This window comes from Homo sapiens, chromosome 4, assembly GCF_000001405.40.
Source record: "Homo sapiens chromosome 4, GRCh38.p14 Primary Assembly".
NCBI lineage: Eukaryota > Metazoa > Chordata > Mammalia > Primates > Hominidae > Homo > Homo sapiens.
In genome coordinates this window covers 14,545,995-14,572,958 of record NC_000004.12, presented here as the reverse complement: position 1 = coordinate 14,572,958, position 26,964 = coordinate 14,545,995, and the positions used below count along the sequence as shown (strand labels likewise).

The 26,964-nt window shown below is 39.3% G+C and overlaps 1 long non-coding RNA gene across 1 annotated transcript in view; it reads left to right on the top strand.

The window, feature by feature from the left end:
• The window catches only part of LINC00504 (long intergenic non-protein coding RNA 504), a 417,705-nt gene that overhangs the window by 315,211 nt on the left and 75,530 nt on the right, over window positions 1–26,964 (top strand). Inside the window, exon 5 of the long non-coding RNA NR_126435.1 lies at window positions 713–812. This is a non-coding gene — a long non-coding RNA (long intergenic non-protein coding RNA 504). The remainder of the gene's footprint in view (window positions 1–712; window positions 813–26,964) is intronic.

Here is a 26,964-nt window from a genome sequence, read left to right as displayed (position 1 = left end):
TGGCTTACACAATTATAGAGGCAGCTTATTCTCTAGCTCCCATAATACTTGACTCTTAACAAATTGCTGATTCACAAGGAAAATAAGTGGCTGGTGTTGCTTTAAACCATTACACTTGGTATGGGTTGTTACGCAGCAATAGGTAATCCAAGCCATGCTCTTCTTTGGGCTAGATACCTATTGCTAATTTTCATGACATAATCTAAGGACTTTGTCTCCAACTGACCCTTTGTAAAGATTTTTTCTTGGATGCCTTAGGTAGGACTTATAATCCATTTCTGGCCCCAAGAACCAATCCCTAGATCTATATAACATACAGATAGGAAAAACTACACAACCTGCTCTTTATGCCCCTTCACTCCAAAAATTAGAGTTTGGGTATCTGGCCATAAACCCAAAAAGATCCTTAACATCACTTAGAGACACAGCTTGGCTTGTGTCAGGTGGTGGACATGAGAGAAGTATGAAGCAGACAGGCTAGGATATCGGAGAAGAAGTGGGATTAAGATGCATTTGCACAAGTGGTCGCTGCTGCTTCTGCTCTTTGCTATCCTAATGTCTACTAGAGCCTGTTCACATAACTAGCCTGACTGATCCACTCCCAGGAAGATGACCTCCAATGACCTCAGGATGAAGCCTCCTGTTGTAATTTTTCATCACCTTATTTCTTTGCCTCTTATCAATTCTCTCTCCATTTAAATGTTTTCCTCAGGAAAATCAGGCCATGTTTGTGTCCACAAACAAGAGTGAAGATAATCTCTCCTATCTGAGAAATCCAGGAGTGGAGGAATCCAATGGGAACTCTGGCCAAGGTATTTAGAGATTTCCATGATGAAGCTGAGGGGATCAAGATTATACATCAGTTTCAAAGGATGGGACTAGATTCAAACTGGGAGAAAAAAGGCTAGGGGCTGATTTTTCCTCCACTCTCTGGTTTTCACTGTCATCCTTCCTAGCACAGACACTGAGGAAAGGTGGGAAAATCCAATTAGCTTGGAGGGCCTGGCCTCAGACTCCATGCAGAGAAAATGATGCAGGGACTTTGATAATTGATCATCTGTGGCCTCCAAGTGTTGGCTCAGCTGCAGGAAATGTCACAGAAACGTTGTAAGATTGAGGATTGTGGATAAGTTTAACACATTTTGCAGAGTGGATCACCCTACTGTTACTGATTAGAAGATATGCCTTTGAAACTATAGAATATATTTCTGCAAAAATACGTATTCCTAAGCTCACAGGGGATAGGATCATGTGTGAGAAAAATTATTAGGTGACTTACAGGAGTAAGATTTGTATGATTATCAGCACCACAGAATAAGAGAGAATAAGGTAATGTTTTGCTTATGTCGATCACCTTAGGACAACCAGTGAGTTCATCCAGACTTAAAACCTTCCTCTTTGCAAAGAACAAGTTGACTGTATAATATCAAAATCTCTAATTTAAACTCTACTTAGAAGATATAAGTTCAAGTGCCAACCTTGCATCCTGGAGATGAAGCCAACTTGATCGTGGTGAATAAGCTTTTTGATGTGCTGCTGGATTTGGTTTGCCAGTATTTTACTCAGAATTTTTGCCTCAGTGTTCATCAGGGATATTGGTATGAAATTTTATTTTTTTGTGGTACCTCTGCCAGGTTTTAGTATCAGGATGACACTGGCTTCATAAAATGAGTTAGAGAGGAGTCCCTCCTTTTCAGTTGTTTGGAATAGTTTCAGTAGAAATGGGTCCAGCTCCCCTTTGTACTTCTGGTAGATTTCAGCTGTAAATCTGTCTGGTCCTGGACTTTTTTTTTTTTTTTTTTTTTTGGTTGGTAGGGTATTTATTACTGCCTCAATTTCAGAACTTGTTATTGTTCTATTTAGGGATTCAATTTCTTCCTGGTTCAGTCTTGAATAGCTAATGGATGCTAGGCTTAATACCTAGGTGATGGGTTGATCTGTGCAGCAAATCACCATGGCACACATTTACCTATGTAACTAACCTGCACATCCTGCACATGTACCCCGGAACTTGAAAGTTGATGAAAAAAAGATATATGTTCAGACCACCATTACTTGTGTAGAGAACTTGCATATAATTTTATTTTCCCCAGCATTTTATTTTATCTAGGTGATCTGCCCCCAATTTAAGATGTAGCAATTGCTTCTGTACCTGAAGAGCAGAAAAGATTTCCATTTTAATTTGGTAGTTTGGGACTGCAAAGTTCATTATGAGAACCAAACCTAAGGGATTTACATGCCAACAGATGCCACGATTATACTCCACAATTACATACCTATGGGTCTTCCTTAAACTCAAATATGTCGATTTATGTGTGATGGAATAAGCCAGGGGATAAAACAAAAAGTAACCAGTAATCAAATGCTGTTTCTCTAATGACTCGACAGCATAAAATGTAAATTTCTGGTAATTGGCTACACAGTGTCCATTTCCATTTACCAAAGACCTGGTGCCATATAAACATGCATAGGGATAAAAGGGATGTTTTGAAGATGACCTTGTGGCATTGACATCAGACAGAAATAAAACAAGAGCTTAAATGTCAATTGTTCAGTGAGTAGTTAGATTTTCCTCCATTAAATATTTATTTGTGATATTTGTAGGCCTGTGGTCAGGGCCAGAAGATTAAGTCATCTGATCATGGTTATAGTCAGGGATGCAATTATGTGTGGGCTATACATGATTTTGTCATCTGAATTCTTAGCCTCACAATTAAATAATATAAAGTAGAAGCAGTGCAGTACTCCAAGATAGCTTCATTCTCCTACAGTGCTGGGGAGAGGATATATATTAATGGCAAGATACAAAAAAGTACAATAAGTGCTATGAGAGAAGCATTAAGAATCCATGAAAAAAATGAATTTGGGTAGGCCTTATAAAATGTAGAGGAATTTTACCACAGCCTAGAAAAAAACTATTGTTTCCAACACTTCACATACAGATTGAAAACTCTTACGAAAGACGATAAGCTCCTAGAACGCAGGGCCTGTGATGACCTCACTTTGGTTTCTTACCCATAGCACTGTGTCTGGTTCATAGTAGTTGTTTACATCAGCTACAATGCTTTTGGCTGCAACTAACAGAAGACTTAATTTAATTGGCTTCGAAAATAAGGGGCATAAAAAAAAGAACAAGATCATGTCCTTTGTAGGAACATAGATTGGCCTGGAGGCCATCATCCTTAGCAAACTAATGCAAAAGCAGAAAACCAAATACTGTATGTTCTTACTTATAAGTGGGAGCTAAATGATGAGAAAACATGGACACAAAGAAGGGAGAAGACACTGGAGCCTATGTGGAGGTGGAGGCTGGGAGGAGGGACAGAAACAGAAAAAATAACTATTGGGTACTATGCTTAGTATATAGGTGATGAAATAATCTGTGCAACAAATCCCCGTGACACAAGTTTACCTATATTACAAGTCTGCACATGTACCCCTGAACCTAAAATAAAAGTTAATAATAATAATAGTAGTAATAAGCATGTTATCATAGCTTCATTAATGGCTAGGGATAATGTGTTTTTGGGTTGGTCATTCAGTGTCTCAGAAATGTTAACAAGTACCCAGTTCTTTCCATCTTTCAATTTTACCACTTTCATTAGACTTTTGTCCTTGTTGAGACTCTTGCATAGTCACTTTTAGTCATGTTCAGTGCAAGAGAAGGCACTGTTTCTTCCTATTGTTTATGTAAGTTCTAGAACTTTCATGAAAGATCTTCCAGCAAACCTGTCCTCTCAATTCAATGATGAAAACTGGGTCAAAGGACACCTTCAAATGCATTATTTTTAATGGCAAAATGATTGTCATGTTTAAGTGAAATAAATCAGGATTGATCTCTGAGTCATGTGGGGAAGAGGTGAAACAAAATCAGGTATTCTTGTTGGGTAGGCAACCAACAGTGCCTGATTCATGTATGTATGTATGTATGTATGTATGTATGTATGTATGTATGTATGTATCTATCTATCTATCTATCTATCTATCTATCTATCTATCTATCTATCTATCTGTCTAAATGGACTGATATGGAATAGTAAATTCTAGGCACAGAATTCAGCATTACCAAAGATAAAGGAAAATCTCATCTTACATTTGCTGAATTGAATTATTTCCATAGCTCTCTCAATGCCTGAAGTTTCTTCCTCTCCAATCTCTTCTCCAAATGGTGTCCAGAGTGATCTTTCTAAATGCTGACCAAGTTGTTCTCTTGCTTTCAATCATAAAATAATATAGTGTAAAATAATTTAAACTTAGGTATTTATTCCTAGTCTAATGTTCTTTCCTACAAACTATCATGTCTCCAATATTTATTTTTATAGGGAAACAATCACATGACAAACTTTAAAAGGAAAAGAACATGAGCTTTGGCAGAAAACTTCAATATAATGTGCACAAAACTGGAGCAGATCCAAAGTTCTGGAATTACAGGCATGAGCCACAGCACCCGGCCGCAAGAGCCTTCTTTAATTCCCTCAGTTCCTTGCCTCCTAGATTCCTCTAAATTGTTTTCTTTTCTCTTTTTATTTCTCTTCCCTCTATTACACAAATTCAGGCCTTGAAAGTTTCAACTGCTGCATTTTCCCTTGTCACCTGTGACTTCAAGTGTCAGGATCAGGGCCTTATGAACAGAGATATGTGCTATTTTTGATAGAAGCAGTGCCACCTCCCAATAGTAAGTGAATTGATCTTCTGTAATCTAAGATTATGAAAAGAGTAGGTTGAAAAACTCAAGAGAAGGGCTAAAAAAGAATACTGGACAAAAAATAAAAACAAACCATGAGATATGTTTAGGATATATTCATTCATATTCTCAACAAGATTTGAGGAAATTTCAAATCATTAAAGAAGCAAGATGTTTATGAAATAAAATGATTTAAGGCCAGAAAATTTTAGAGAATTGAAAGAATTTAGAATTAAGGAAAAAAAGTTATGGAGACAGTGGATAAAACTGGATTCTGCAGGAAAAGTAAATACATCAGTATTTGAGAAGTTGGTTCAAATATAATTCCATTGTTCAAGAAAAATAACAGAAAAATAACAAAGAGAACATAAATGATACATAGAATAGATGAGAAATGAAAGAAATAATGAAATAAGGTTGAATAATTAATGTTCAAATCAGAGAGGCTCAGGCTCACCAATCAAACGAATGCCATGAGGTTCATGACTATCATTCTTAGATATAGCTTTGTGACATTCACAATAACAAGGAATAATAAAAAAGAATCTGTAATTCAGGCAGGCAAATAAAAAGGAGCCAGACCTATAGTGGCAAAAAGTGTTAAGCTGTTGCTCAACTTCTCCTTCAGAGTGCCACACCACGTAGCAAAAGACCATCATGTTCTCATAATGGTTTAAGCATGACACCATCTTTTTAAACTACTTCTAGTGCTTTCCAGTAAAGTCAGAATAAATTACAAACTTGTTGCATCTTTTCAAAGTGACAAATTCAAAGTCAAAATTTCCAAGCATTTTCCAACATGATTCCAACTTCTAAGAAAAAGGTAGGTTATATATTATGTAAACCTTTCCAAAATCAGAGCTTTTTATGAGGCAAACATAACCTTGATAACTTATAAAAGAGCACAGACAGAAAAAAAAACAAAAAATCCAGTCTAATCTTAATTTGAACATAGAGGTTCAATTTTAAAAAATTACAAAAAAATCCATCACAGTATTTTCGGGAATAATGCCTATTATTTACTTGAGGAATATTTTCGTATTAAAAATATTGACAATTCTGTATAACTCTTGGTATATAATAATAATAGCTAATACCGAGCATTTGCTGTGTGCCAGGTTCTATTCTAAATATTATTAAATCCTCATAACACTCTTTTGAGGTAGGTAGTATTACCTCTATTATATGGAAAATTGGGACACAGAAAGGTGAATAAAGTTGGTCAAGGTCACGCAGATAGTTGTGTTAGAGCCAGGATTTGAATACAGGCAACCTGAACCTAAAATCTGAGTTTTTTACCCCTATGCTGCAGAGCAGGCACATGGTAAGTATTTGTCGACCTACATTTTAGTATTTCTGGTCAGGTTGTCTATTGTTGCATGCCAAACTACCCTGAAATATTTTTTTATTTAATAAAATACATTACTGTGACTCACAGGTTTCTGTGGTTTGACTGGATGGGGCCTTGTTGGGGGTATCTCATGATGTGGTTGCAGTGAGATTGTTGCTGAGGCTGGTGACATCTGGAGGAGTAACTGAGCAGAATGCCTGGTGGTTTCTTTATGCATATGACTAGTGCTTTGATATTTGTTGGCCTCTGTGCAAAACTGGGGCTCCCAGAGGATGATGGTACACAGGTAGTCACACTCCTTGTATGGTAACTAGCTTCCCAGAAAGCATCTAGACCAATCCATGGCATCCAGAACTGACACAGCACCACTCCTACCACATTCTATTGGACAAACAGTCTGAGATGCCACCTAGATTCAAGAGGACACTAGTTGAGGGAGTAGCAAAGGCATAGTACAGGAAAGCATGTGTGACCTGCAACACTATTATTTTTATTTACAAGGAATTATGTTCTTCTGATGCAAAATCAAAGTACAGACAGTGTTGTGAGTACATTTAAGGTAGGTTAGATAAGCTATGACGTTTGGAAGGTTAGGTGTATTAAATGCATTTTTTACTTAGCTATATTTTCAACTTACGATGGGTTTCTCAGGGTGTAACCCCAGTGTAAGTCAAGGAGCATCTGTACCATAGAATGATACTTGGTGAAAAGTAAGAATTCTTCCTTCTACTTTTGCTCTCATCCAGCTAGTTTGCCCCAGCTCACTCCAATCAGCAACCACTTTTATTTCTTTATTATGTGTCTTTCTAGAACCTTGATAGAAATATAAGCAAAATCAAATGTATATATTCTTATTCTCCCTGGATTTTACACAAAAGGTGGCATTCTGCAAACACTATTTAGAATCTTATATTTTGAATAACTGCCTATATTAATATGGTAAAGAATGAAAAGGTGATGGAAGGCAGGAAAAGAAGAAGGAACAGCAGAGAAAGAAGAGAAAAATGAAGGAAGGTATATTTGTCCATTTTCATATTGCTTTGAAGAAATACCTGAGACTGGCTAATTTGTAAAGAAAAAGAAATTCAGTGGACTCACAGTTCCATATAGCTCGGGAGGCCTCAAAATCATGGTGGAAGGAGAAGGAGGAGCAAAGGCATGTCTTACATGGCAGCAGGCAACAGAGCATGTGCAGAGATACTGCCCTGTATAAAACCATGGGCCCTTGTGAGACGTATTCACTATCATGAGAACAGCATGGGAAAAACCCACCCTCATGATTCAGTTACCTTCCACCAGGTCCCTCCCAGACACGTGGGGATTATGGGAGCTACAATTCAAGATGAGATTTGGGTGGGAACACAGCCAAACCATATCAGAAGGATAGGGAGAAAGAATAGAATATTTATTTTAGATACCATATGAAAACAAAAATATGAAAAGTACATGCTAAATAATTAATAGTGGCTCTTTCTCTGTGGTGGAATTAATACTATCTTTTTTTTTCTCTTTGCTTGTTAGTGTTTTCTAAATTTTCTATAATGGGCATTTGTTACATCTGTGATAAAAATGTTATTAGTACAAAAACCATACAGCTCAATTTTTATGCTGGCTGGTATTATTATTTTTTCACTATTGTTGTTCACTTTTTTTCTAAGAAATTGACCTCCAGCCATGTGTAGATGGGAAAGAAAGACCCGGAGGCTTCCTATAGGGATTTTCCAACACAATTGTATTTAGTTAAACAAATGTCCCATACCAATCCCCTTTTCTTTTCTCTCCCTTGTGCTTTTGTCAGCTGCTGCCCTGCAACTTAAGCTCTGTGAAATCCACCATCTTACATTTTACGATGAATGTAATCATTGAGTCATGTACCTTCCATGAGCAAGGCGAGGCCCTGTAGAGGCCCTATAGAGGATGGGGGAGTCGCAGATGATGATGGGCACATATGCACCTACCTGGGCTGTATTGTGATAAGTGTCCTATTAGCACCATGAAGGGATGATTCAGGATCAGAACAAGACCCACGAATTTTGCCTGAAGGATTCAGGGCACAGTTTACATAGTGGGTGCTATTAAGTGGGATCATAGAACAACCCATTTTTGAGAAGGGTAGGATAAGGCAGTCGTGATAGGGAGAACAGCACTGAAGATGGTGTGGGAGCTGCCCAGAAGCCTGGACAAATGGTGGCAAGTGATGCTAGAAATACAGACCAAGATTCAAGAACACGGAAGGTCTTGTATCCAGACCAAGGAGTTGGAAGTTTTTCCTGCGGACACTAGAGTGACTTCCAAGGGAGAGGGGCATGCCTGTGTGACAGGCACCAGCTCTGTCTGTTTCCCAAAATGCAGTATCCCTTAATATGTGCCCTTTAAACAGATTATTTTATAATTCAAAGTAAGAAATATGTATTGAAAAGATTTTTATGAAATTTGCATTGTCAGCAAACTTAAAGGAAGACATGTTTCCCGTGAGGTTTAGATGGAAGTGAAAGCCCAGGAGTTTAGCCTAAATTTGCAGCCCTTATGGTCCACAGGAGAGAGCTCTTGTGCGTTCTGGACTCCCCTAGGAGCAACTGAGGAATCTAATACACCTCCTTCAATAAATAAATAAGTACATAAATCGCACCAAACTGTAATTCCTGGTGTTTCCTCTGCCCGACAGCTAATTTTCAGTTAATTTTTCCTGGAGGCCAGCAGGGAAGGCGAGGAGGTTTGCAACAAGGTGGGGGCCCCAGCCAACCTGGACCCATCCTGAAGGGCTTGCCTGTCAGAGATATGTGTTTAATGATTAAAAGCACCATGAAGCCAGGCAAGTACTAGTGTGTTACTTACTGAGCCTACCAGTCCAGTGCTTGGACCATATTGCATACTGAAAGCAAGTTAACTGACATATGTTATGGGGAAGCAAGACTAAGATGTGCATCCCTCAAGGACTAATCCAGAAGAGATGACACAAGCCACCATGGGTCCTGACACAGCTTCTTTCCCCTGGGGTACCCATGGGTGTCTCTGGCATGGAGGATGCCAGCTGATGGGGCAGCCTAGCACTACACTGTGAGAACTGGGTTAGCCTTTAGGTAGAGAAGCCAAAACTGTCTCCTCTGCTTGTCAGGAGCTAATTTTCTTTGAAAGCCAAGAGGGAAAGAGAGGAGGCTGTCAACAGTGTGGGGGTCCCAGCTAACCTGGGTCCATCCTCAAGGGCTTACCTGTCAGAGACATGTGTTTAATCCCTACTCCAGGACCTCCTGAGGAGCTCTTTGAATGGGGAGAGAGGGACGGTGGGAACTGCTAGAGCTCCCATAGTTAAAATCTCCCCTAATCTGATTGCCCAGGTTCAGTCAATGCCTCAGCAGCAAGTTGCTGCCCAAACAAGAAAGCTTCCATAATTCTTCAGCTGGACTTGCACCCTCCTTTTTCTGAATCAGCAAAGTACTGCGTATTTCAGGGTCTTGGAGGCAGCATGGCAGGACAGAGAACACTGGCTTGGGACCCAGATGATCCTGGTTTCCATGCTATGCTCTTGCTCTGTGACCTTGGAAATGGGTTTATTTATTTAAGGCCATGTTGCTTTTATTATTAGAGAGAGGATATTATCTAATATTGGACTGTTTTGAAAACTAGCAGAAACTAAATGTAAATGGCTGCTTTGTTATTACATTTAAGAAGGTCTTGTAAATATTATTGGAAGTCAGCCAGGTTTAAATTCAAACCTTATCTCTACCAATTAATCTATGGGTGAGACATCAGGCAAGCTTGGGATACGTGGGTGTCCTCTTTCTGCAAAATGACACTTATCTGGTAAATTGCTTGTAGGGGAATTAGTGAGCATGTAGACGGCATACCTAGTGCAGTTTCAGGCGGCTTTGGCAGATGCTCATGTGTGGCTGCTGTTCTTCTATCTTGCTGTGGTATTGTTGTCTTTTCTTCCTCCCACTCCTTAGACTGTGAGGTTCTTGAAAGCTGGAAGCCTGCCTACTTCTTGACACCTGCAATATGTTTATTTATTGAATAAATAACAGGAAGATTTGCTGAATAATTAGCTTAGCGATATTGAGGACTGAGAGGAATAAATCCATTAGTGGCTTCTTATAATATTTAGAATGCAGTTGACATTGCTTACCCCTCCCCGCCATCCACCTTACCCTTTTCTTCCTATCCCACCACAATGCAGCCACCTGATCTCATGCCGCCCAGAAGCGGCCAACCTCCTCTGAGACTCAGGCATTTGTACTATTTTCCATGTATGAAATACTGTTCCCATGGATGGCCTTATGGCTGTTTCCTTATTGTCCTTTGAAAGATCCCGTTTTGTGGAATGATCACTTCTTCAGGGTGAGTTTCCCAGGGCATGCTCTCTAAGATAGACATTTTCTCCAATTTTCTCATTATTCTTTTCTCTCATATCATTTGCCAACATTTAAGTTATATTAAAGCAAATTTTGGGTTTTTGCTGCCCATATCCCCTCTTACTTATTGGGGAAAGAGAAGCACAATTTAGTTTTTGAGAGCCCATAAGCTTTAAATGAAGCTGACTTCAGCCCAGGGCTCCAGGGCTCACATGACTGAGACCAAAGCAGTCATTGCATCCTCCCCTCTGCTCATGGTAACTGCTTCCAGGATGGGTCTCTGACTTCAAATCAGGACAGTGTAGCATAGTGAAACTCAATTCTGGGCCATAAAAAAAGTTGCTGGGGATGTAGCTTTCTCTTTCCTGTCGACATAAATCAGGAAAAATGTAGGAGCCGAAGCTGAAGTAGCCATCATGTAGTGAAGAAAGAGAAAGGAAAATAAATGTGTGTTTGTGAGTGTGCATGTGTGTTTGTGTGTGTCCTTTCATTGTGATTATCATTTGAGAACCTTGATCAATCTCTGTCTGAATTGGACCCACAGACAGTCTCTTTAGTTACAGCCAATACATTTCTTTTTCCTATCCATGTTGAGTTGGGCTTCCTCTTATAATACAAAAATTGTTAAGATAGATACCATTGTTTAGTCTTCCAACTAGACTTAAAGCTTTATGAAAGAAAGAATTATGTCTAATTTTTAATCATACCACTAGTGCCTAGTATAGTATTAGTCATAGAACAAGCCCTTAATAAGTATGGGTTGAATGTACAAATGTGGTATAATGTCAAACTCTAAGGAGAGGCTTGGTCTTCTACAGATGTAGTCCCAGTTATCAGACTTTTTGCAGTATTGGAAAGACCTGCACAAGGCTTGGTCGTGTTTCAGAATGGTGAGAAATGCAGAACATTCAGAATGCCAGCATTAGTGTGCAGGTGTTTTTTTGTTTTTTGTTTTTTGTTTTAATAAATATGTAGAGGCTGGGCGTGGTGGCTCATGCCTGTAATCCCAGTACTTTGGGAGGCTGAGATGGGCGGATCACGAGCTCAAGAGATCGAGACCATCCTGGCTAACACGGTGAAACCCCATCTCTACTAAAAATACAAAAAATTAGCTGGGCGTGGTGGTGGGCACCTGTAGTCCCAGCTACTTGGGAGGCTGAGGCAGGAGAATCACTTGAACCCGGGAGGCAGAGGTTGCAGTGAACCGAGATCACGCCACTGCACTCCAGCCTGGGCAACAGGGTGAGACTCCATCTCAAAAAAAAAAAAAAAAAGAGAGATTTGTGTGCCACGGTAGAGCAAAATGAAGACTGTGTGATGAGGCAGCTCCTGGGCTCCAACGGTGAGATAGGCATGTCCAACTTCACCAGAAGTCCTGCCTTTTTCTGCTGCTAAAATCACCTTGAGGATGCTGATAATGAGTTACAGAATCAGAATTTTCAAGTTTAAATGAACCCTAGGAATTCTTTCTATCTTATTTTAAAGATGCAAAACTTATGCTCAAATAGTATAAACATTTATTAGGACTCTCAACTTGTTGATGAGAGAAGAATCAGGACTAGAATGGACATCCAGCCCACCCACTACACCTTAGTCTTTACCATAATTTTTTATTACCTTTCCTTCCTTCCTTCCTTCCTTCCTTCCTTCCTTCCTTCCTTCCTTCTTCCCTCCCTCCCTTCTTTTCTCTTTGCCCCCCTCCCTTCTTTCCTTTCTTTCTTCCTCTCTTTTATTTCAAATACCTTCATATATGACATTTGTTTCCCTGTCAACTACATATGTAACACTGGGACTACATTTATGCTGTCAAATATGACATCATCTTTGCTTTTTTGTGCCTTGTTACATGCATCTTACAAACTATTGGAAGGTGGAAAAAAGACAAAGGACAATTATAACAACATGCAATCACTATCAAAGTTTGCTGAAACCAATTTGCAGGGCACCATGTTCAGTCTCATGATTGAGGTGGATAAAAAATGCTGATTGGTAGTCGGAGAGAAGGTTATGGAAGACTTAGAAGAGGTAAAACATAAACTGAGCCATGAATTTTGCGTCAGGCAGAGATTACTAAAATAATAAGCCTAGAGTTAAAGTGACTTTACATAATTACACATGGCAGGAGCATGGTTTATCAGATAGTTGATAGTGAGAGAGGATGCTGACAAGATATGTGGGGGTTGAGTAGAAAGCACCTTGCTGGCCTTTTAAGGAGCCCTGACATCACAGGCATGGAAGGCCTTTGGGAGATTATGAGCAGGAAAGAAACGTGGCTGGATAGGCATTATGGAGTGACTGTTTTGGCCGCTCAGATTTATGGGCAGACAGGGCTGCTGATGGTGGGGGGATGAGATAGCAGGCTGTATCAGTAATCCAAGGGGGGTTGGAGCTGGAGAGACTGGGGAGGAGGGAACAGCACAGGCTGTGATGACAAGACAGCCTAGCACTCTGATGCTTCACTACCCTCACTTGTCTCTCCTTCCCTCACCTTTAAAGATTTCTCATGTTCTGAAGTGAAATCTGGCAGATGGCATTTTAAGAAAAGATGACTTTATAGCTCCAGGTTCCAATCTGATTTGTGTATATACATATAATATATAAAAAATTTTGTTACCAGAAGGAGATAAGGATCCAGTACCTTCTTAGGTAATTAATGATTCAACATGGTGCCTTTGCAAAATGAAATTGACGCAGCTGGAAGCCTCATTTGCAGCCATAAGAATTCAAAGGACACAAAAAGGCTGATTTGTGATTGTTCCTTTTCCTCAATAAAAGTTAAACTGATTACAAAAAGCTGACAATGAGATGCTGGCTTGAGGAAGTAATGTTTCTGACATTTTCGCTGAGTGTTTACCACAAATATTCAAATTTATCATTTTTGACACTCTAGAAAAATGAGGATAAAGTATTATTTTTCTACTGCAATACTTGCTTATATGCACATTTATATTATACATAATTGATGGAAAATTAAAAGAATTCTGAGTTCCCTGTCATATTCATTTTTAAATTATGGTCTCTCATGGGAGATCTTGGAATTAAACCCAAAGAGCTTTTACTTTGAAATAGAAAATGTTTATTGTGTGGTAACATCTTTTTTCTGAAGAGAAAATGTGCCCATTATTTAAATCCTGGAAACCTTTGGTACATTCAATCTTTAGAGAAGAATTATTACCAAAACAATACTAGATAATATTTATATGGCCCTTAAAATTTGTAGATATCTTATTTTAATATTTCAATAATCATATTGATAGCACTACTGTCTCATTACACAAATAGAGAAATCTATTCATTGTTTGATCTCAGACAAATTATTGACATCTGTGAGGTTCAGTTTCCTCATCTGTAGTTGGAGGTGATTGTTGTTGTTTTGTAGGACTATGGTAAAGATTGCCAGATAAAGCACTTAGCACAGCCAGGTGTTGGTAGTGCTGGTTGATTTGATTATCACTAACACTCTGTTTATACCAGCTTTTAATTCTGACTTTCTTATTTCTCTTTTAATAAGCCTAGAGTCATCCTAAATCTCATGACTCCCTTGATACATAAGTTTTTCTTTTACAACATGTTCTTCCTGTATCTTATTTTTTCTACCGCTGGCCTTGTATACATTTTTATGAAGTTTCTCTAAGGCTGCTTGTTCAGCGTCCACTCTACCATCCTTTCCATTTACTCCAACTACCACAGTGAAACTACACGGATCTTCCAGAAAACTAGCTTTGGTTTTATTACTTGTCTGATGACTCCTCAGTTTCTACAGTTAGGAAAATATCTTTCCTGTCACTCAAAAAGTCTTATGTCTAGTTAATCCAGTTACCCTCTAATTTCTCCCCACATGTTTCTTATGAGTGATAATACAAGAAAATAATTCATGTATATAATATTTTATAAATTACAGAATTCTGTAATACCCATTTGACGTTTGGTGCAAAAACATTAACTCGCTCTGCCATAGCTATTGAAGGAATGTTTAACTATATTACACTGGGTCTGTTGTGGCTTTATCCAGTGGAGAAATGCATTTTATCTCAGATTCTTGCAAAAAATAACTATTTATAAATAGGGTACATTCCTGCTAAAATAGTTAAAATTAAAAATGTGTATACTGACCATACCAGGTGCTATTAAAGATGCAGAGCTACTGGATCTTTCAGACTTTGCTGTTGAGAATGCAAAATGGTATCGCTATCCTGGAACAAAGTTTGGCAGTGTTTTATAAAGTTAAAAAATGCATTTTATATGAGCTACCAACTCAACTCCCGGGATTAACAATACAGAAATGAAAACATTTTGCACGTAAATATTGTCACAAATGTCCAGCTTCATTCATAAAAATTAAAAACCGCAGCTTCATTTGTGCTAGCCTCAAACTTGGAAAAACCTAAATGCCCTTCAAGGGATGAATGGCTGAACAAACACATACATTCATACAATGGAATACTAGTAAGCAGTGAAAAGGAAAAGAATTACTGATATATAAAACAGCTTGGACTATTCTCAAGGGCAGTAAACTCAGAAATAAAATACCAATCTCTAAAGGTTGCATATTATATGACAACATTCTCAAAATGACAAAATTATAGAGATGGAGAACAGATTGGGAGGTTTTCAAGTGTTGGAGGAATATGTAACTATCGAGAGGTAGTATTCATTGTGCTAGCAGTTACATGAATCCATACAGGCAGTAAAATGTCAGAACTATACACACGTACAAATGAGTTTACGTGAAAACTGGTGAATTCTGAATATGATCTGTAGTTTTGTTATTGGTATAGTGCCAATGGTTTCCATGGCAATGAAAGATGCTATCATTGGAGAAAACCAAATGAAGTGGACATGGGAACTTTCTGCACTATTCTTGCAACTTCTATGTTCATCTAAAATTATTTCAGAATAAAAAAATTTATAAAACTTGAGGAGCTAGCTAAAATACTTCTGATGCCATAACAAAGGCTAAACAATTAATTATATAGAGAACTCAGGCACAACTCTCTGACCAGCACAGCAGTGAGCAGTAGCACTATCTTCATTTTCATTAACAGATAGATCAACAACCAGCATGTTAGAAGGAAGTAAAGCTTTTTTAAAGAAGAAATTAACTGATAGAGGCTTAGTATTTAAAACGTATATTTTGAGCAAACACATATGTTTATCCTAATAGCTTTCTAAAACAAGAAGTAGTTGTTTTCACACCTATAGTGTGGGACAAATTCAACATGATCTAGGATAGAAACAAACCTGAACAAAGCCAGAAACATGGCAAGCCTAAGTTCTAATACAAACATAATTTTAGCTGACTTAGAGGTCATTTTCTGTAAACTGCTTCCAAACTTGTAAAATATGAGAAAGGGACACACACGCACACACACACACATGCACACACACACACACACACCAGACTCTTACACAAAACAAATTGGTTCAATAGACTAAGTAAACCCTAGCCTCTATTGGGGTGATAAATGCCATAGCTAGATGATTTCAAAAGCTTTTTTAGAGAGGAGAACTCAGAGGCTACCAGGACACACTGAACAGTCTCCAGAATTTGTATATAAGTTGGTACTAAAACCTATATAGAAGTAGAGATTTCTAATTACAAAGCGTGAGTTTAACCTTACTCAGTAGATCCTTTGACATTCATTCATTAACTTATTCATCCATTTATTGAACAAATATTAATGGCTTATTTTTATGTGCCATGGCCTAAGCCAGTAGCTGGGAATACAGCAATGAACAAGACAGCAAGATCTTAGGAAGCCACTAAAGTGGAGGGAAGCGTTACTCCGTAATTACAACAATAATTAAAATTGTGACAACTGCATTACAAGGACTGGGCATGATAATACGAAAATACATAACAGGAAAGGTGGTCAATTCTAGAGTTAATTATAGCATCCTATGACCAGGCTTTTCCACCCTAAAATTCAATTTTCCCCTATAACTGGCTGTTGTAAAAAGACAGCAGTGCTTCCATGGAATAGACATGGTACACAAGAAGCATCTCATGCCAGTCATGATCCAAAAGAGCAGAGGTCCATAAATGGGTGGAAGAGTCAGAGGCTATATGCTGGTGATAGGGAATGAGGGTATGAAATTTCCTTCAGAAATAAAGAAAGACAAGTTGATGGTTCCTGTAAGGTCTTTTGGGGGTAGCAAGCCTAATGCTTTAGCTGATCAGAGGCAACACTGTATTCTCTGATGAGAGACAACTGAGAAATCAGCAGAGCTGGTATTTGAAAGCACAGCACACATCACTGAAGAGAGCAGAGAGGAAAGGTATTTATTCTCAGGAGCATGATATTTGAGCAGGGAACCAGTGACTAGAAGGAGAAATTTTCTACCTAAAGCTGAACTTGAAGCCTATGGATTAATACCAGCTAGTACATATGACTTTCCCATCCCTGAGGACTCCTTCAGCCTCCCACCTAGCTTTTTCTACTTTTATCCAGCAGGATACATATAGGTAGTTCTTAATCCATCCAGATTTGAGGCAGGAAAGGCTTAAGCTGTGTGGGCTCTTTTGGTCAGCTTTTGAGGGTCTGGTTGATAAGTAGCTGTTTCATTATAGAACACAAAGATAAGCTGGTCCTTCCAGTGTGATATCCTGTCTGCCAAGGATTAAGAACAAGTCCCTCAAGGGACAGCAAGTGGCCACACACTATGTGCCACTTAAAAATATCCTTCCCAACCAATCCTGAACACCGTACACGGAGGGGCATATGTTTTGCCTTTACTCAGTATGCCTACTCAGGATACCAAGAGCAGTATTCGTTAGGATGGCACCAAAAGCATTTCAATGATCTCTTTGTCAAAGTTCTCATTGCATTTTCTTTGCAAAGGCCATGGGTGTCCAGAGGTCATTGTGAGTTCCGAAATTTGAGAATAGCCAATATAAGCATGCAGGTCAGAGTGCCCCAGCCCCATCATGAACTTTCTCATACACAATTAAACTAAAATTTAATATGATACATGAAAAGGCAAAACACAAGATGAAAGTGCCAAAAGTTTTAGAGGAAGAGTTTATTGCCAGGTTGGGTGAATAGGGAGAGCTTTGAAGAGGGGGTGGCACATGAATGAAGCATTAAAGAACGCAGTTAAGAGGCCATGGAGTTGTGTCACTCAGAGCTCCCCGCAAGAGGACCTGCTACCAAAAGCACAATGGATTGACAGCCTCCAGCTGCCGAACCTTATCTTCAAACCCACTGCAGCAGTCACCTGAGGCCGTGTTCACTTACCTAGGCTGTTCCCAGTGACTATTGGAGCATAGTGGGGCTACTATCATCGGGACTCCTCTAATGGGCAACTCCTGCTCATGGACTCCCCATAGACCTGGTTGAGACTTTCTCAGAGTTGCTCTGTGGTCCAAGCCTCTTCGTACCCCATTTTCTTTCTTCCTCCTTTCTTTTTTTTTTTATTATACTTTAAGTTCTAGGGTACATGTGCACATTGTGCAGGTTAGTTACATATGTACACATGTGCCATGCTGGTGTGCTGCACCCACTAACTCGTCATCTAGCATTAGGTATATCTCCCAATGCTATCCCTCCCCCCCTCCCCCACCCCACCACAGTCCCCAGAGTGTGATATTCCCCTTCCTTTTCAAAGGTGAAGACCCTACATCATAGTCTGAATCCTCTTCCAACTTATTCCTGCTCACCCTCCCCTTTCTGCTTTACAGGTGTTCCTGTGAAGAGATTTATTTCCCCAATAAATATTTTATACATCTAGTCCTGTCTTCTTGTCTGCTTCACAGAGGGCTTGATACAGATGGGTTTCTCAGTGACTGATGGGTGGATGAATTAATCAAAATGATCACAGCTCTGCTTAATTTGATGAAAATATTCACACTCAGGTATTAGTCATGTGAGGGGTCTCCATTTGTTCCTTAATAATTGATGCTGAAGGCCAGGTGCGGTGGCTCATGCCTGTAATCCTAGCACTTTGGGAAGCCGAGGCAGGCGGATCACGATATCAGGAGTTCGAGACCAGCCCGGCCAATACGGTGAAACCCTGTGTCTACTTAAAATACAAAAATTGGCCAGGTGTGGTGGTGGCGGGCACCTGTAATCCCAGCTACTCAGGAGGCTGAGGCAGGAGAATCGCTTGAACCCGGGAGGCGGAGGTTGTAGTGAGCTGAGGTAACACCACTGCACTCCAGCCTGGGTGACAGAGCAAGACTCCGTCTCAAAAAAGAAAAAAAAAAAGATGCTGAAAAACATCTGGAAATTGCAAAGGAACAAAAAAGCAGTGCAGTGAAATCACCCTATGATCTGTCTGAAGAGTGGTCCTTGAGACTTCTGTCTGGTTTATGTTTAGATTTACCTCAGACTCTCCGAAGGCCAAGTCCTACCTAAGGAGTAGAGTCAGTTTCCTTTCTCTATGGACTGTCACTGCACTTAGAATTCTTCAGAGTTTTTCTCCCAGGTTGGGTTCTGCCATAGGCACTGAACCTCACATGACATTATTTTGGCCCATTATGAAGACATTAATTCATTCCTTCATGTCTCCATTTAATAAATTTTACCTGAGGATTTATAGAAAGGACAGTTTACTTAAATGAAATTAAACGAGTAGACACTGGGGCCTAAATGCTTGTATTCAGATTTTGGCTGTACTACTTATATCAATAGGACTTAAAAATTTCATGACTTAGTTTTCCCAGCTGTAAAGAGAAATCATAAAATACCTCTCTTATAGAACTATTGTGGGGATTTCAAACATAATATATATAAACGTTTAGAACAGAGTATGCTGCAGTAAAGAAGTATTCACAACTATTATTACTAGTAATTCTATTTGTGCTAGAATTTGGATAATTGATATTAAAAAAATAGATATAGCACATGTTTTCTAGAAGCTTGAATTTTATTGGAAGAGACAAAAAAGACAATGACTAGATATAAATTACTTTTACATGTTATTGAGCGCTAAGAAGGGGAAAAGGCCTGCTCAACTAGTATTTTGGATGGTCAGGGAAAGATCCTCTGGTAAAAGCATTCCAGGAGGAGACTGCAGAATGTGCAAAGGTCCTGTGGTTGGAAGGAAATGACAGTGTTGAATAAATAAAAATGAACAAGATATTCTTGATGAACAGATGCATCCTAGGACTTTGTGCTATGTGCACATGCTAGGCATACTCTAGCTGGCTCCTCAGGGCCACATGCAGTTTGGCCCAGTTGCCTGCTGGGTTTCATGTTGTTAGAGCCCACCTGGCCTTTTCCATGCTGCAGCCCCACGCTGCACCCCTCATTACACCTGGGTATTTCTGTGGTAATTGCCCTGACCGTTCCCTGTTTATGAGCCAACTGCTATTTCACACAAATCCTTGTGCTTATCCAGACCATTACTCTGAAAAGCATCCAACTAGGAAGATAAGGGTATAAACTCTGGAGCCAACTCCCAGAGCCAGTCCCCACCATCACTTGACCTTGGGCTAGTTATCTCCCTGATCTTTAGATGCTCATCTGTAAACAGGGGATTAAAAATGTTTTCTGGGCCATGCTCAGTGGCTCACACCTGTAATCCCAGCACTTTGGGAGGCCGAGGTGGTGGACCATATGAGGTCAGGAGTTCAAGACTAGCCTGACCAACATGGTGAAAGCCCACCTCTACTAAAAATACAAAATTAGCCGGGTGTGGTGGCTTATGCATGTAGTCCCAGCTACTCAGGAGGCTGAGGCAGGAGAATCGCTTGAACCCAGGAGGTAGAAGTTGCAGTGAGCCAACATCATGCCACTGCACTCCAGCCTGGGCAACAAGAGCGAAAATCCCTCTCAAAAAAAAAAAAAAAAAAGTTTTCTAACTCATGAGGCTATTATAAGCATGCAGTGGATTCACATAAATGAAATTAGAACTACAGTCAACAGTATGTAAATGTTAGCTATTATTATTACCATCAACATCATCACCTTTATACATGGGCTCCTGGTATCCCTTTGGGACCGTGTCTTTTGGTGTTACACTGTGTCTTGCTGAATCTCTCCTTCCTCTCTACCCATGGAAAGTCTCCCCCTGTCTTCTCCAGCCTGTGTGGTGGGCTGAAGGCCAGCTCTCCTAATAAGGAGAGGGGAATTCAGAGCAGCATTGGAAATGCGTACATGTTCACATCCGAACACACACCCGCCACTATTGTGAGCCCTCAGTACCATCTGAAATAGTGCATTTTTTCATCACTCTGTGACATGTAGAAAAGACTCAGTCCCTGGTTATGTTGATATCCTTCACTGTGTTCCATCATAAATGATAGTTTTAGGGAAAACAACTGACATTTTAAATAATCATGATCTTCAGCAAAATGGCATCTAATTTTAATGCTTTCAACTGCCGCTCCTTTTCAAGGCGCAAAGCAGCCAGACTTCCTTTTCATTTTTCCCTTCATTCAAGAGATTGCTAATGTGATGACACCCAAACCATCCACTGCCTCCCACACACGCTTTGACAGCTGGGGTGCTCTCAGCTTTCTCCAAAGTCATTGTCCTCCCTCCATTTGCCTCTCTCGCAGATGAGATTGAAATGGTAGCATTTCACTGGAGTTGAGACTGGGCTTGGGGGTGGGCATGAGGTTCTGCAGATTGACAGATATAATTATCACATTTGCTTCCCAGCATGTGGTATCTAAGTAATAGTCTCCATATTTATCCAGTATTAATCAGGAAAGAGTTCAATCAGTTGAAGAGGGATATTTCTCTTTTTCAAACAAGGCTCTGCCTAGAGAACTCATCCCTGACAAGGGTCTTCACTTGTAATATAGGGTTAGACTCTTGCTTCAGCTTGGTCTGCAAGTGACAGTTATCAACCAAAGACCCTGGGACTTCATGCATTCAATGGGCAGAGTGATAGGCTGCAGGGAGGCCTCACTCCCTTCATTCTTGAGAGGAGGGGACCAGGGAGGGACTCTTTCATGAAGGGAATAATCAGAGAATGATGGATAAAAAAAAAAAAACAAAAAACAGAGTGTGATTAACCACAGTTTAAGAGTTTAGTTAGAGGACTAAAAAAATACACGAGCACATTGTCTTGTTCTTTTGTTTCTTTGTTTGTTTGTAGCAAGGGAAGAAGGATCATGGTTTCTTGGTGCTCTAATGAGTTTTAGAGCTGATGTAATCTGACTTCACATGTCCCTTCTATGATGGGAAGACACCAAGCTCTTCCCAACCAACCTAGAGTCATTTGGTTAGTTAGGAGTAGTTCGAAATTTGCAAGGAGGAAGAAATCAAGACATGAAGTAGATTTTTAAACAGCTGATATATTAATCACCATTGTTCAGATTTTTGTTGTCTTTGAGTCGCAAAGGTGGAAGAGACCTTCAAACATATGTACATGGTTCACTCTCTATTCTTCCACCTCCCCAACAAGGGCAGCCCAGTCTCTCCCTGGATGTCTTCCATGAAGTATGGTCATCCAAGTTTCAGGAAGAGTCAGAAACTGGAACGCTAAGTGACAAGACTGGAGAGGAGAGAGCCCTCCTGGATGCTCCCTCTAGTAGTGGTAAACATCATAGTCAGACTCATCCTAATGATATGGGGGCAGAGGAAAGCAATCAAATATTGAACCATTGCTTATTCCAGACCAGGTAAGCTTCAAGGGCTTTACATGAATCATCTAATTTAAACTTTTCCACAACTCTATGGGATGGGTGACAATACTTTCCTCAGTTTCAAAATGAGGCTTAACACATTAGGAAAATCTCTCTGAGTCAGGCATTGTTCAAATGATTGTCTAGAATGGTCTGATAACAGCTTTATGCTTAGCCATAATGCCACACTGCCTTGCACACACCTCTTCATATGCTGGGATCACAAGTTCTATGAAAAAATGCAGGAGACAGAAGACTAGGACACATGTTTCTTCAGGGAAAAATTCATAATAAAAAAGATAGCATGTGTTCAGGCAGAAATTAAACTTCAACCCAGATAGAAATTAAAAGTGAATAGGCACAGCTGGTTAATTTTGATTCTCCAGTTACTGTGAGTCTTCTGAGGAGGTTCATCAAATGGCCCGCTGCCTCCCTTATTTGTTTATTTTATTTTGTTTGTAAGTTCGCCATGCAGAAAGTAGTGTCTTCTCTATGACACACCCATAAAAGTTAAATAACACTTCTATTAAAAGGCATGGGGAAGGCTCATTTCTATTTTGTTTTGAGACCTATTTACCCTTTTTCTTTCTCTAGAATGACCATCTCTAAAAAGAATAAGTTTATTTTCCCAACAGGTATGGCAATCTGTTCCAGTTATTGGAGATCTTTCTCTAGAAGAGACAAGTAGGCAATTTTAACCATAGCAGATTTTTCAGTCATACCTGGGAAGGGAAAAGCGAGTGTGGACTTTTCTTATAACAATAGCTGATTATGTGGCAAGCACTGTAGCAAGCAGTTTACCTGCATTAACTCACTGGGTGCTTACAGCAGTCTGTTGCGGTGGGCGTCATGGTAATGAAAACAAGAGAAAAGTGCAGTGTGAAGAAGTTCTACACTTGGCCTGGGTCATGGAGTCAGAGTGTGGCCAAGCCGTTATTCCCATGGGCCTTGCTTCAGAGACAGATATGGAAATTATGGGGGAAATAACATTAATGTACAAGGGAGGACAGGGAAGCCCTCTCTGAAGGGGATTAACGTGAGCAGAGAAATGAAGGATAGGGAGGGCCTGGGAAAGGAGCTTTCTTTATACTTAAAGTAAAATTATTATTTTACTTTAAGTTCTGGGGTACATGTGCAGAACATGCAGGTTTGTTACATAGGTATACAGGTGCTGTGGTGGTTTGCTGCAACCATCAACCCATCATCTACATTAGGTATTTCTCCTAACACTATGCCTTCCCTAGCTCCCCACCCGCCGACAGGCCCCAGTGTGTGATGTTCCCCTCTCTGTGTCCATATGCTCTCATTGTTCAACTCCCACTTATGAGTGAGAACATGCGGTGTTTGGTTTCTGTTCCTGGGCTAGTTTGCTGAGAATGATGGTTTCCAGCTTCATCCATGTCCTGCGACGGACATGAACTCATCCTTTTTATGGCTGCATAGTATTCCATGGTGTATATGCGCCACATTTTCTTTATCCAGTCTATCATTGATAGGCATTTGGATTGGTTCCAAGTCTTTGCTATTGTGAATAGTGCTGCAATAAACATACGTGTGCATGTGTCTTTATAGTAGAATGATTTATAATTCTTTGGTTATATACCCATTAATGGGATTTCAGGGTCAAATGGTAATTCTGCTTCTAGATCCTTGAGGAATCGCTATGCTGTCTTCCACAATAGTCGAACTAATTTACAGTCCCACCAAGAGTGTAAAAGTGTTCCTATTTCTCCACATCCTCTCCAGCATCTGTTGTTTCCTGACTTTTTAATGATCACCATTCTAACTGGCATGAGATGGTATCTCATTGCGGTTTTGCTTTGCATTTCTCTAATGACCAGTGATGATGAGCTTTTCTTTTTTTTTTTGGTGGGGGTTGTGGGTTTTTTTTTTCTTTTACTTTAAGTTCTGGGGTACATGTGCAGAATGTGGAGGTTTGTTATGTAGGTATACATGTGCCATGGTGGTTTGCTGCACCCATCAACCCATCTTCTACATTAGGTATTTCTCTGAATGCTATCCCTCCCTTAGCCCCCTCACCTCCCTCCCCTGATAGGCCCCAGTGTGTGATGTTCCCCTCCCTGTGTCCATGTGTTCTCATTGTTCAACTCCCACTTCTGGGTGAGAATATGTGGTGTTTGGTTTTCTGTTCTTGTGTTAGTTTGCTGAGAATGATGGTTTCCAGCTTCATCCATGTCCCTAAAAAGGGCATGAACTCATCCTTTTTTATGGCTTCATAGTATTCCATGGTGTATATGTGCCACATTTTCTTTATCCAGCCTATCATTGATGGGTATTTGGGTTAGTTCCAAGTCTTTGCTATTGTGAATAGTGCTACAATAAACATACATGTGCATGTGTCTTTATAGTAGAATGATTTATAATCCTTTGGGTATACATCCAGTAATGGGATTGCTGGGTCAAATGGTATTTCTAGTTCCAGATCCTTGAGGAATCGCCACACTGTCTTCCACAATGGTTGAACTAGTTTACAGTCCCACCAACAGTGTAAAAGTGTTCATATTTCTTCATATCCTCTCCAGCACATGTTGTTTCCTGACTTTTTAATGATCACCATTCTATCTGGCATGAGACGGTATCTCATTGTGGTTTTGATTTATATTTCTCTAATGACCAGTGATGATGAGCATTTTTTCATGTGTTTGTTGGCTGCATAATGTCTTCTTTTGAGAAGTATCTGTTCATATCCTTTGCCCACTTTTTGATGGAGTTGTTTGTTTTTCCTTGTAAATTTGTTTAAGTTCTTTGTAGATTCGTTTAAGTTCTTTGTAGATTCTGGATATTAGCCCTTTGTCAGATGGATAGATTGAAGAAATTTTCTCCCATTCTGTAGGTTGCCTGTTCACTCTGATGATAGTTTCTTTTACTGTGCAGAAGCTCTTTAGTTTTATTACTTTTTTCATGTTTTTGGCCGCATAGGAACAGCTGTGGTCTGCAGCTCCTAGTGAGATCAATGCAGAAGGTGGGTGATTTCTGCATTTCCAACTGAGGTACCTGGCTCATCTCATTGAGACAAAATGGAAAGGAACATTCTAAGCAAAAAGAACGAATGCAAAGGCTCCAAGTGGGGAAGAAAAAAATCAACTTTCAAGGAATGACAAAGATAATATGACCGCCAGAGGAGGATGTCTGAATAAGCAGCAGAGCTGACATCCCAATCCGTGCAGTGTGGTTTCCTGCTCCCACATAAACCACTTTGTTATATTGACCCAGTCCTGATAAGTGCTGCAGAGATGCCCACGTAAGGCTAGGACACAGAACTGCTCATTGATTTTGCATTCTGCGGACTTAACAAGAGTAATATCCATGGCATGTGGTTGGCAGAAACCAGATAGGAAAGACTGGAAAAATAAATTGGAGACTGGGAAGCACAGACAGCAGGTGTCAACAACTTTTGCAAAATTTTTTTTCCTTTTTTTTTCCACCTCTGAGAAGCCTTGAGGAGTATATGAGGTCAAAGGAGGGTTAGTGAAAGGAGACAAAAACCGTGTGTGAATGCTGATAGGATTGATCCAGGAGAAAGTAAGAATCATGGTACATGAGAAAGAAATTGATTATGTCCAGAAACATTAGTGCATTATTTGATTCTTAGCCTTAGGCTAAATGGGATTTATGGACATCTAGGAACTGTGGATGGGTGCTCCATCCCATTTATCTTGTTTTCATACTGTGCTCATTTCTCACTTGGATGAAGCCAAACATCATCAATACATAACATACACATTGCTTTTATTTGCAGTGGTTTGGATTTTTCCCCAAAGCTTAGTGATTGATTCTATTTTATGATAATTAAATGATACAATTAGCCAATTAACTTATTATCTCAATCATCTCTCCACAAATGTATTTGACAATCTTCAATATGCCAGTTTTAATGCTAAATCAAATGATAATATAAGCACGTAACACATGTTCCTAGGAAGTTCTCATTCTTGTGAAACGAGATGCAATCTTCTTTATATAGCAAACTTCACAGTATTTTGCCTAGTGGTGTTGCTAAATACATGTAAGTCTTTTTAAATTTCTTATTGGTAAGTTTTGAAAGAGGCTGATATGTCAACTCTGATCAATGACTCAGAGTTTTAAACATTTTTAGACTATTTTATATCTACTTTTTCTTTTTTAACCTCTTCTTAAATGTTTATGTGTATATATTTGATAATATATAATATATCATTAATATATAGTAAATATATCTGTAAGGACTTCATTCAGAATATGTAATAAACTTTTACAAATCAATAACAAGACTAATTCCTCAATTTAAAAATGGACAATTTTTTTTACATACACTTCAATGAGAAGATATATAAATGACCAGTAAAAATTTGAAAGAAACTGCTTAAGATCATTAGTCATCAGAGAAATACAAATTATAAACTTAAATAGAGCATACATTCTCCAGAAGAGCTCAAATTAGAAACGCTGACAAAACAACATTGGTGACGATGTGTAGCAGGTGGGATTCTCATATCGTCCTGAAGGTTTGGGGGAGGTTTGTAGAATACTACAACCAATTTGGAACACTATTTGGCATTTGAACATCCATCTACCTAAAGATCCAGAAATTTCTACACCTAGTAATTTACCTAAATAAATGAAAAGTTATTTTCACACAAAGATTTTGAAAGAATGTTTATAGCAGCTTTACTTATGCTAGCCACAATTAAAATGCCTGTCAGTACTTCAATAACTAAACAAACTGTTGTATGTGTATACAAAGGAAAACTATTCCTTAACAAAATGGAGCAAACTTACTGATGCCTGCATTATGGATGAATCTCAAAAATATTATGCTAAGAAGCCAGACATGGAAGGGTACAAACTGTGTAATTCTATTATATGAAGGCAAAGTTAGTTTATGGTGATAGAAATTTGAATAGTGACTAAAGGGCGTGGGGACTGACTGGAATGGCAACAAAATTTCATTTTTTTTTAGAGACAAAGTCTCACTCTGTCACATAGGCTGCAGTGCAGTGGT